Consider the following 13,229-nt stretch of genomic DNA (forward strand, 5'->3'; position numbering starts at 1 on the left):
AATGGATATGTCTTGACTTCGGCTCCAACCAGATTTGCCAATGAATTAGAAATTAGGCATGAGAGAAAGAAAGAAGTCGTGACTCAACTGAGGAACTAGAAGGACTGAATCGCTATTCACTAAGATGGGGAAAATTGTTAGAGAAGCGGATGTGGGGTGAAGATAGAGAATAATTTTAGTATTGGACATGTTATGTTTGAGATGATCATGGCCATCCAAGTGGAGATGGAGTGTAAGCAGTTGGATATATGAGTATGAATTTCAGGGAAAAATTCAGACAAGATATACCAATATTCGAGTCATCAGCATAGATATGGAATTTAAAGTCTTATGAATTAAATGGATCCCATAGGGAAAATGTAGAGAGAGTATACGAGAATTTCAAAGAAAAGTAGGACAAATAAGTTGAAAGTGTATGCAAGAGAACAAGTGAAGTGACAATAAGGATGTACCACAAAATTGAAGATGGGCATGGGACCAAAGTGATATCAAAGGAATAGTGAACAGTAGAATCAATGAACTGTGTTTTTGTGAAGTAAAATTATTGTTGGAGTCATGCTATTGGAAAGAATAATCTGAAAAAATAAAACATTTTAAATTACTGTATTTACTGAAATAGAATTTACTGAATTTGTTGCTCTGTGAGATAAATAAAAAAATGAATAGAAATCAGATTTTGTCCCTGAGTAATTCACAGTCCTACTGGGGAGACAGATCTACTAAAAATAACAGTGCCACATGATGACAGGCTGAACAAAGGTAATGATAAGGTGTTCTGTAAACTGGAATCAAATATAAGATATCCCAGAACAGAGCAATTAATGAAATAATCAACCCTTTAACTGCTATTTTTTAAATGGGCAGTTAAATAGCAATCTTAAAATAAGCATTTATTAATTCATTTACTAAGAATTTACTGACTGTCTTCTATATATCAGGCACTAAGTTTTGCATTGCGGATACAGTAGCAAAAAAGACAAATAATCCAGCCTTAGTGGAGCTTGCAGTACAATAAAGGAAGAGTTGAGGTGTTACAACATACAAAGTCTGTGATAATTGGGCATTTTGAAATAAGCAACCTCATCTTTGATTTCCTGATTTTCATTCCATTCTTGCTTTTGAAGATATTTGGTGAACACTGGCTGAAAATTGTTTCTCAATAGTCATCTGGGATAACATATTTTTGATCTATGTGAACCTACGCTACATAAAGTGTCCAAAATAACTTTAATCTTCTCATTTGTATGAAGAGTTTGGAAGTTAAAAAAGCCCCTTCATCCATTTAATTTTTATAATATCATTAGGAATTATGTTTTTAAAAATATGAAAATAACAGTGCTGTTTTTAATAACCCAAACATTCAGAGATGCATGATGAAAAAGTTAATAGATTGCTTCCCAACATTACTGCTTCCAATTCGAACTGTCAAGATTAACAGCCAAGATTAATGACTTATTGTGTATCTTTACATACCTTTCTCAGTGCTCACAAACCAACCAACCTATATACACACTTTACCAAAACTTCTGGGATGCAGCAAAAGCAGTAATAACAGAAAAGCTTATAATAATAAATACTCACATTACATGAAGAAATATCTGGAAAAAAACAGCTTAACTTTATACCTCAAGGAACTATAAAAAGAATAATCCTAAAGTTTGCAGAAAGAAGGAAATAATAAATATAAGAAGTAGAAATAAATTAAAGAATAAAAAACTAAAAATCATCAAAACTAAGAGCTGTTTTCTTGAAAAAATAAACAAAATTGAAAAACCATTAGCTAGAATAATCAAGAAAAAAGAAGTCAAATAAATAAAATCAGAAATGAAAGTGAAAACATTATAACAGATGCCTCAGAAACATAAGAAACTATTATGACCAATTATATACCAACAAATTGGATAATCTAGAAGAAATGAATAAATTCCTAGAAATTTACAAGCTACCAAAACTGAATCAAGATGAAATAGAAAGCCTAAACACACCAATAAAAAAAAAGATTAGATTAGTAATGAAAAACCTCCCAACAAAGAAAAGCCCAGGACCAGGTGGTTTCATGGTTGAATTCAAGCAAACATTCAAAGATGAATTACTACCAACTCTGTTAAACTCTTGCAAAAAATACAAGAAGGAACACTTCCAAACTCATTTTATGAGGCCAGCATCAACTTGATACTCAAACTGTACAAAGACACTAGGAGTAAAGAAAACTATAGGCCAAAGTCCCTAGTGAACGTCAATGCAAAAATCATAAATAAAATACTAGCAAAGCAAATATAATAACACATTAAAACAATTATACACCATGACCAAGTGAGATTTATCCATGGAGTACAAGGATGGTTCAACATACAAAAATAAATCAGTGTAATATACCATATTACCAAAAAAAAAAAAAAGGTCAACTCAACAGAGAAAAAAACATTTGCCAAAGTTTAACTTCCATTCATGATTAAAATTCTCAAGAAAATAGGTGTAAAAAGAATTTACGTCAATTTACTTTACAGAATAAAGACCATCATATCAAAAACCACAGCCAATATCATAATTAATGAAAGAAAACAGAAAACTTTGCCTCTAAGACACTATACAAGACAAGGATGCCCATTTCTACCACTTCTTTCATCACAGTACTGCAAGTCTTAGCCAGAGCAAGTAAGTAAGAATAAATAAATAAAAGGCATCCAAATTGGAAAAGAAGAAAATTATCACTTCTTGCAAATGACATATATGTAGACATTCCTAGATAATCCACAAAAATCTCTTAGAACTAATAAATGAATTCAATAAAGTTACAGGATAAAAAGGGAACATACAATAATCAGTAACATTTCTATATATAAACAATGAACTATCCAAAATAGGAAATGGAGAAAACAATCCTATTTATAATAGCAACAAAAATAATAAAATACTAAGGAGTAAATTTATCAAAGAGGTGAAAGACCTGTACACTGAAAATTATAAAACATTTATAAAGGAATTTACAGAAAACACAGAAAAAAAGACCTGTAAAAAACAAAGAAGACATAGAAAGACATCCTGTGTTCATGGATTGGAAAACTCAGCATTGTTAAAATGTCCATATTACCCAAAGAGATCTAAGACTCAATTCAATTGCTATCAAATCCCAATAGCATTCTTTACAGAAATAATAATAACATTCATATGGAACTACAAAGACCTTGAATAGCCAAAACAATCTTGTGCAAGATGAACAAAAATGGAGGAATCACATTTCCTGACTTCAAAATATTACAAAGCCACAGTAATTAAACCAGCATGGTACCGGCATAAAAAAAGACCTAAAAGCCAATGGAGGAGAATCAAAAATCCAGAAATAAATCCATATATCTACAGTCAACTGATCTTTGACATGGGTTGAAAGAATACACAATGCAGAAAGGACAGTCTCTGAATATCTACATGCAGAAGAACGTAATTAGACCCTTATCCCACACCATGTTCAAAAATCAGTTCAAAATGATTTAAAGACTTAAATGTAAGGCCTGAAACTGTAAAACTACTAAAAGAATGCATAGGGAATATACTTCTTGATATTGGTCTTCGCAATAATTTCTCCACTATGAACCCAAAAGCAAAACTAGACAAGTGGGATTGCATCAAACTAAAAATCTTGTGCACAGTATAAAAACAATCAACAGAGTGAACAGGCAATCTACGAATTGATAGAAAATACTTGCAAACCATGTATCTGAGAAGGTGCTAATATCCAAAATATTTAAGAAACTAAAATAAATCAATAGCCAAAAAGAAATGACCTGATTAAAAAATGTACAGAGGACCTGAATCGATATTTCTCAAAAGACCACATACAGATGGCCAACAGGCATGTGAAAAGGTTTTGTTTTTTTTTCTTCTTCTTCTTCTTTTTTCAACTATTTTAAATTATCAGAATTTAAAAAAATATATTACTATGGTATACTGGAAGTATAAGTTGTATAGAGACTTCCAGAGAGTTATAATTCATTTTATGCATTTTTTGCAAATTTGCCTACACGAAAGTGCACTATCACCACACTGACTTTGTGTGCAAGCATTGTATGTGTACAAAAAAACTTGAAACTTTCTCAGTAAATGAAGAGATGTCCTTTTGTACAGCTGCATTTGTGAAAAATAAAATTTATTGAGATCTTGGTTCTTTTAGGTGACTGCGCATGTGGTATTGACCCATCATAGTTTGTGCCAATCTTGTCAAGACTTACAGTGTTCATCAAAGAATGTCAGATGACCACAGTTATAAATTTGGGTGGACACAATTACCAACCATAGTAATATGCACTTACACATTTCCTTTTGTCCAATTTTTATGAATATGGTTTATCACTCACAACTGTTATACCTACGCAATGTCCATTAATATACCTCTTTATGTTTGCAAAAATACGTATGTTATTATTGCTTATTTTATTGTGTAAAAATATGAAGTTTTTTGTCGTGTTTTTATGTGTTTCACAAATAAATCTCCTTTTAAAAATGTAAATAAATATCACTTAAAGAATTTTTAAAATATTTCCCAGAATTATATTTTTGGGATTTTCATCCTTCCAGATTATAGCAGTCAGCTCCTAAAGTTCAATTGATCTTAATATGCAGAATATAGATGTACTTCAACAAATCCAATAATTCCTTTATTGATTGACATTTCACATTACTTCCTATAAAATGTTGGTTGTGCTAACCAATGCAGTAATAGTAATCATCATCATAAAAACAGCCTTATACACTGATCTAACATTCAACAGGTGCATACTATTCTGGTTTATCAGCCCCCACACTATATCTATAGTTAAATATTTTGGTTACCACCTCTGCTTATAAATACATTTATACATATCATTATTTTATTACTATAAGACTGTGTCTTCCAAAAAATGAATTAGAAAGTATAAGAGAATGAAAAGGCAAAATTTTAAGTGGTAGAACATATTTTCAACATGTAGTTGATAAAGGACTCATATACAGAAGATACAAAGAACTCCCAATAAATAGAAACATGGAGAAAAGCCTTAAAAAGGGAAGTCACAAAGGAAGAAATCCAAGTGGCCAATAAATATGGAAATAATCATCAAGATAATAGGGAAATTCAAATTAAAACCAAAATTAGATGCTACTTCACATTCACCAGAAGGGTTAACACTTAAAAGAATGCCAATACCAGAAATTGAAGAGAATATGGAGTAATAGAAATTCTCACAAACTGCGTGTGGTTGTGTAAATTGGTAAAACCACCAACTGGAAAACAGTTGGATGTTTTCTATCAAGATTCAAGACAGACATACACACTGACTTAGCAATATCACAACTTTATATATATCCAATAGAAATATGTCCTATGTACCAGGGAACATGTATAAGAATGGTCACAGCAACGTTTTTCATAAGGGATAAAATATGGAATCAAACAACATTCTATCTTGTGAACCAAAAAGTATGGTATGTTTGTGAATAAAGGGTGAAGCAAAATGTTCTTTCTTTTTATAATGCATAAATTTGAGCTTGGGTTATTTTCTAATTCCATTCCCCTAAAAAAATAGCAAAAGTGGATGTCAGCTGTGTTACTGGGACCACCGCTTATGGTAAAACAAACAAACAAACAAACAAACAAAACTCCTGATTGACACATTATACCTAGACTGTGAATAAACTATAAATACCTTATTAGGAGAATCTTTGGGCTCTCCTAAACGCATGTTCTTTGCAGGACTTTTTAAGTCATTGATTCCACTTTGGGACACAGGATTTTAAGGTTATCTATCTATTACACTCAGCTCTCTAAGTCTCACATTCTTACATGCACAGTCATTTGGAGTAGCTACAGAAGACTAGCTCCCATTTCTGTTCTGTTGAGAACTCTTTCAGAAGGTAAACAGTTGCTGGTGTGCTGGCATGCTGTTCCCTGTGCTGTATCCTGCTAAGTGAGGTCAGCGGTTAGTGTGGCCTATAATAATCATATTAGTCTGTCTAGTTGAGCTTGAAGACCCAAAGGTAAGTATTCAATGTCAAGGGAATGAAAAATTAAACAAACTGCAACTATACAAACAATATAGACGATCTTACAAACATATAGAATATACACTACAATATTACATTTATATAAAGCATAAAACTGTAAAGAAAAAGAAAATTTGGGAGAGTAAAAACAGTTAAGGAAAGAAGGATTTTTTTAATTGGTTTATATGTTGATGAAGACAGCACTAGGATTTCTTTATTTAAAAGGGTTACACAAAAGTTTTCTGAAAATGATTTTATGTCTTCACCTGGTGAATACACAAGTATTTGATTTATAATAATTCATTAATCATTATATTTATGTTCATATAGTCTTCTGTATGTGTTAGCATTTCACAACAAAAAATATACAAGTGTTTATACTTTTAATTACAAGAGTATGTATACTTTTAATTATAGCAGATTAAAAAAATATCTTCCAAAAATATTCTAGTCGTTCATATTCTAGTAAAGCATATACTAGTAAAGCACAACAACTCTCATTTTCCCACATCCTCACCAGAATGATATCAGTTGTTTTGATAATTGCATTTGATTGATGCAGGTATTTCCTTATGGTTTAAAGTTTGTGTTTCCCTAACTACTAGCATTCCTGAGAATCTTTTCGAGTATGAAGGGCCTTACATTCATTTTTATAATGCCTATTCTGTGGCATGCATTTTTATATATTTGTTCACTTTTTACTTATTAAGCTTTTTTGTCTTTTTATTAAAAAATCAATGTATGGCAATATAGTTATAGTGGTTATGTGCACCATCCCAGGAGCCAGACTTCCTGTGGTTTGAATCTGACTTTGTCCTTTAACATATTTTTAAACTTCAGTAGTTTATTATGCCTTAATTTCTTTGCCTGTAAAATGGAAAAATAAATAGAAATATTTCATGAGTTGCTTTGAAAGTTAAATGAAATAATGCATGTACTGTACTTAGAGGAGTGCCTGGTACATGCTAAATATTTAATTAATGGTAACTGGTACTACTATCATGAAAATTTTGCAAATGTATGTTGTAGGTATTTCTATCTCAGTATAATATTTATCTTTGTTCATTGTTATGATAACTTTAGTCATAAATTAAAATTTTATATTTATATATGATTTTATTTTCCTTTATAATGTCTGGGATTTCTCACTTAGATGATTTCCCTCTCTCCAATAGTATACAAACAGAAATCTAAATTTTCTTCTAATAAATTTTTATACTTCTATTTTTAACATATTCAGAATTTCAAAATGTTGAGAAGTAGAAATTGATACAAATGAACTGCTTACAGTGACCTCCTTCCAAAGAGTACAGTAAGCCAAAGGGAGGAGGAAAAATAGTCACTCTCAGTAAAAAAACAAGGAACACTGCTCCAGCCAGGTGATCAAAATCAACATCAGCAGTGATAAATTGTTTTGATTGTATGTACCCCTGATGTGATGTGATGAGAATGGTGCTTAACCTCAGGTCTCTCTCACAGAAACTGGTAAACCCAGTATAATCATGAGAAAAACATCAGAAAAATTCCAACAGGAGAACATTCTACAAAATGCCTGACTAGTACTCTTCAAAATTGTCATGGTCATTAAAAACAAAGTCTGAGAAACTGTCCCAGCCTAGAAGAGCCAAAGGAGACATTATAACTAAATGTAATGTAGTGTCCTGTATGGGATCCTGGAACAGAAAAAAGGAAATTAGGTAAAAATTAGAAAAATATGAATAAAATATGGCCCTTAATAGTCATGTATTAACATGGTTCAATATTGCGACAAATGTATCATACTAATGTAGGATGTTAGCAATAGGAGAAACTGAGTGCAGGGTATAGGGAAACTCTCTGTACTATCTTCTTACATTTCTAAAACTGTTCTAAACAATAAATGTATTTTACAAAAATAAATGTTGACAAATAAAAAATGGGAGGTGATAAAAAATCACTTCAAGATACAGCTTACCAGTCATTTTCTAATTTATTGATTCATTCTATATTAATTAAATATCTGCTATGAGTCAAGCACTCTGCTAGGCAAGAGGACACAAAACGGAAGTGAATCAAAACCTGATAGGCAGTCACTTGTCTCATGGGTCTTATACTCTTTTGGGAGAGAATATACATCCAATAAACAAGAACACCATATATCAACATGGTGTTTTCTGAAAGTGATCCATGCTGTGAAAATTTAACTAGAGTGATGTGGAAGAGACTATCGGGAAAGGTGAGACTTTGCACAAGGCAGTCAGGGAACATCATGAGGGAGAGACATTTGAGTTGAAATGAGAAAGAGACAGAAAGCAAGAGACAAAGAAAACAAAAGACTTAGAAAAAGAAGAGTGGGGGAAGGAAGGAAGGGAAGGGGAGGAAAAGGGAAAGGGAAAGGGAAAGAGGGAAGGAGGGAGGGAGGGAAAGAACATAAAGGAAAGAGGTTAAGAGATCAAGGAGCGGGCTGGGGACTAGTTCTCTCAGGGTATTTAAACCATGGGGTAGAGTCTGTATTTTACTCTGGATGTAATGGAAAGATATTACAGGGTTAAAATTAGAGCATGACACAATTTTGTTAACATTCTTAAAACATTACTGAGACTGCTGTTCAGAGAACAAGGGGGTGAGAGCAGAAACAGGGGCACCAGCAGGAATGTGTGGCAAAATGACAGGAATTAGAGCATGTTGACTTGGTTATGGGGTGGGGCAAGGGATGGAGGCAGTGGACATGAAGAAACTGTGCTTCAGGTCGCATAATTACAAAGGGCCAGAAACTCACCTCAAGTCTACCTCTAAAGCCTATAAAAATCTGCCCTATAATGTAATATTAATGTACCCGCCTTATATTCCCTGATGTAACTTTAGGTGCTTAAGTTTATTTTTACTGTTGTACATAGAATTTGCTTAACAAACATCTGGTGTTTGCTTTATATATACTGCTTGAAATGTATAAAATGTACTTTGTTTTACAAGAAGAAATAGGAGGCTGACAGAGGTTAAGTATCACACTCAAGGTTATATCTTGAAAGTAAACTGAGCCAAATGTGAAATGAACTGTCTGACTCAAAGTCTTTGCATTTAGCTGTTTTTCTAAGATCCCTAAGAATGATTTATAGTATAATAATGTGCAATTCATTCTTCTTTTAAAATAATAGTAAATTCAATTCAATTTGATTTCCCCATTACCAACCACAGACAACCCCCAAGCACACAAAAGTGCACGCGCGCGCACACACACACACACACACACACACACTATCCAGGGTTTCAAATACAAATTAAAATTACATTTTCTGAAATTAGTTTGTCTCAGCTTTTTCATAGGCTCTAGGGAAAACATAGTTATGTCATTTTATTTCTAAAGCAAGATAACAGGCTTAGGATGAAAATAATATCTAATTCAATTTCTATGTTCAAACTACATTGTATAATAATTTTAGTTTTGTCCAACATTTTTCAATATGGATTATGGCTTGTAATACATCATTGAAAACATGGAAAGCTAATTATTTTTAACTTTCTATGTAAATCCTGAGTCCTTTAATTGGTCTCCTACAGATCATGTTAATAAATATTTAGTGAGAGATAAACATAGCTATTTTAACCAATTCCTGCCCATCACAATAGACATTATTGTAAAAATTAAAACTTATTTAGTGACATATATAACACATGGTAAGAAGCAAAAGGAAACTTCTAAAAAGTAAATACAGGCATTTCAAAAAACAGACTTAGGCTTCACGCATTCCAATTTCTCTGAAATATCAAAGGATTTCACAAAGATAATCTAGTCTAAATATGTAAGAGCAGTCCTGTGGAACACACAGTAAATAAAGATCATTCTAATTTTATTTATAAAATATTTATACTGAAGTCTCCTGGTTAAATAGGCATGCCATCCAAACTGACTGTATTTACATTATCTGTGAATTCTGTGATAATGTGAATATCTGTGAACTTTTTAAGCTGACAATTCATTTGTTCAATAACTATTTAATGAAAGCCTCCTACATACAAAATATTTTGCTAGATACCATGAGCGCTAGAAGATAAATCAGGCCTGGCCTCAGGAAGTTCCCATTCTGGGAGGGAAGTGAGACACTTCACAGTGATGAAACATAAGGAGATGTTCCTTAAAAAAGAAATAAAATTCTGTGGGAGTTTAGAAGCAGAGATCATGATTCCAACACTTCCATGTCCTATAATCTTTGCTGAATCACTTAATCTGTGGGAGCTATAATTTTCCATCTGTAGAAACAGTGAAAAAATCTTGCAGAATTTTGGAAAGCATCAAATCAAGCCACACAGCCTAGTTCCTGGCATATATTCAGTGCTGTAAAACTGTTAGTTATAAGCATTACTCTTTTTGGTGAGATTCAGAAAAAGCTTCTTTGTGGAAATAGCATGTGATCCTTGAAGCCTTGGCAGGAACTCGAAAGGACAGAATAGCAGTTGTCCTTTCAAAGTTCTTTCTCTGCTTTTTCCTGGGCACATGATCACCCAGAATTTAGAGATTAGGTGGAGGTCAAGCTAAATCAAGTTAAAATTGATCTATCTAAATCAATAGGGCATGATGAATAATGGGATATGAGAAAAGAAATCATGATGTCAAGCATACAGATAAACTCAATGTTTTTGGCCCACATGACTGGAAGTAGAAAGATGACATCAAGATAATTGGACGGGAGGAATCTGAGCAGATGATCTGTGCCATTCTGGGCATAGAGAGGATGATTTACCTATGAGACATCCAAGTGGAAAGGTTTATAATCCAAAAGGACTTGTAAGTCAAGCATGAGGAAATGGATAAGATCCAGAAATAAAGATTTCAGATTCACCGACATATCAGTGATGATCAAAGCCTTAAAATTTCAAGAGGAAGAATACTAAGAAAAAAATAATTAATCAAAGGAAAGTTTTTGTTTGATGAAGCCCAGAGTTAGGAAACAAGAGGGAAAGAAGAAACAGTAAATATGAGAGGAGATTCAGGAAAGTACTACAATGGAATTGAGACGTATATATAATATGGGGTGCAAATTCCTTCTCTGAAAAGTGTTCGTTATTAACAGTCCCTGCTGCACTGGGGCCTAAGTTCTGTATTAGTCCATATGACTTCATGCCCCCTGGCCATTGCTGATTTTGTCACAGTACACATCTGATGCCAGCTGGGCCAATTCAGGTCTCTTTCTAAGGATTTTAAATAAAATGATACTTTAGGTCTAATGTTTAAGTCTTTAATCCATCTTGAATTAATTTTTATATAAGGTGTAAGGAAGGGATCCAGTTTCAGCTTTCTACATATGGCTAGCCAGTTTTCCCAGCACCATTTATTAAATAGGGAATCCTTTCCCCATTGCTTGTTTTTCTCAGGTTTGTCAAAGATCAGATAGTTGTAGATATGTGGTGCTATTTCTGAGGGCTCTGTTCTATTCCATTGATCTATATCTGTTTTGGTATCAGTACCATGCTGTTTTGGTTACTGTAGCCTTGTAGTATAGTTTGAAGTCAGGTAGCGTGATGCCTCCAGCTTTGTTCTTTTGGCTTAGGATTGACTTGGTGATGTGGGCTCTTTTTTGGTTCCATATGAACTTTAAAGTAGTTTTTTCCAATTCTGTGAAGAAAGTCATTGGTAGCTAGATGGGGATGGCATTGAATCTATAAATTACCTTGGGCAGTATGGCCATTTTCACGATATTGATTCTTCCTACCCATGAGCATGGAATGTTCTTCCATTTGTTTGTGTCCTCTTTCATTTCATTGAGCAGCGGTTTGTAGTTCTCCTTGAAGAGGCCCTTCACGTCCCTTGTAAGTTGGATTCCTAAGTATTTTATTCTCTTTGAAGAAATTGTGAATGGGAGTTCACTCACCTAAAAACCATAAAATCCCTAGAAGAAAACCTAGGCATTATGATTCAGGACATAGGCATGGGCAAGGACTTCATGTCTAAAACACCAAAAGCAATGGTAACAAAAGCCAAAATTGACAAATGGGATCTAATTAAACTAAAGAGCTTCTGCACAGCAAAAGAAACTACCATCAGAGTGAACAGGCAACCTACAAAATGGGAGAAAATTTTTGCAACCTACTCATCTGACAAAGGGCTATTATCCAGAATCTACAATGAACTGAAACAAATTTACAAGAAAAAAAACAAACAACCCCATCAAAAAGTGGGCAAAGGATATGAACAGACACTTCTCAAAAGAAGACATTTATGCAGCCAAAAGACACATGAAAAAATGCTCATCATCACTGGCCATCAGAGAAATGCAAATCAAAACCACAATGAGATACCATCTCACACCAGTTAGAATGGCTATCATTAAAAAGTCAGGAAACAACAGGTGCTGGAGAGGATGTGGAGAAATAGGAACACTTTTACACTGTTGGTGGGACTGTAAACTAGTTCAACCATTGTGGAAGTCAGTGTGGCGATTCCTCAGGGATCTAGAACTAGAAATACCATTTGACCCAGCCATCCCATTACTGGGTATATACCCAAAGGACCATAAATCATGCTGTTATAAAGACACATGCACACGTATGTTTATTGCGGCACTATTCACAATAGCAAAGACTTGGAACCAACCCAAATGTCCAACAATGATAGATTGGATTAAGAAAATGTGGCACATATACACCATGGAATACTATGCAGCCATAAAAAGTGATGAGTTCATGTCCTCTGTAGGGACATGGATGAAATTGGAAATGATCATTCTCAGTAAACTATCGCAAGGACAAAAAACCAAACACTGCATGTTCTCACTCATAGATGGGAATGGAACAATGAGAACACATGGACACAGGAAGGGGAACATCACACTCTGGGGACTGTTGTGGGGTGGGGGGAGGGGGGAGGGATAGCATTAGGAGATATACCTAATGCTAAATGACGAGTTAGTGGGTGCAGCACACCAGCATGGCACATGTATACATATGAACTAACCTGCACATTGTGCACATGTACCCTAAAACTTAAAGTATAATAAAAAAAAAACAATACTTTAATTGGCTGAGGTTAGAACTGAAAGGTTATGTACAGCCAAAACCTATGGCTGTTGCTGACAACTTTTTCAAGACAACAAATAACAAAGCACCTTCAATTTCAGAAAGCTGCATGTTCACCATTGTAGCCCCCAATCAACGTTTGCCAAATGATTTACTGATGTAAATCTACAGTTTTTATCCTTTTCAAGTTGATCATAGTGTACATGCAGACTATATCTGCCAAG

At 33.6% G+C, this 13,229-nt stretch overlaps 1 protein-coding gene across 23 annotated transcripts in view; it reads right to left on the reverse strand.

Moving 5' to 3' along the window:
• TMEM232 (transmembrane protein 232) overlaps nucleotides 1–13,229 on the reverse strand; it is a 351,524-nt gene that overhangs the window by 255,641 nt on the left and 82,654 nt on the right. The window lies entirely within an intron of this gene.

The sequence above is a fragment of the Homo sapiens genome, chromosome 5 (genome assembly GCF_000001405.40).
Source record: "Homo sapiens chromosome 5, GRCh38.p14 Primary Assembly".
In the NCBI taxonomy this organism is placed as follows: Eukaryota; Metazoa; Chordata; class Mammalia; order Primates; family Hominidae; genus Homo; species Homo sapiens.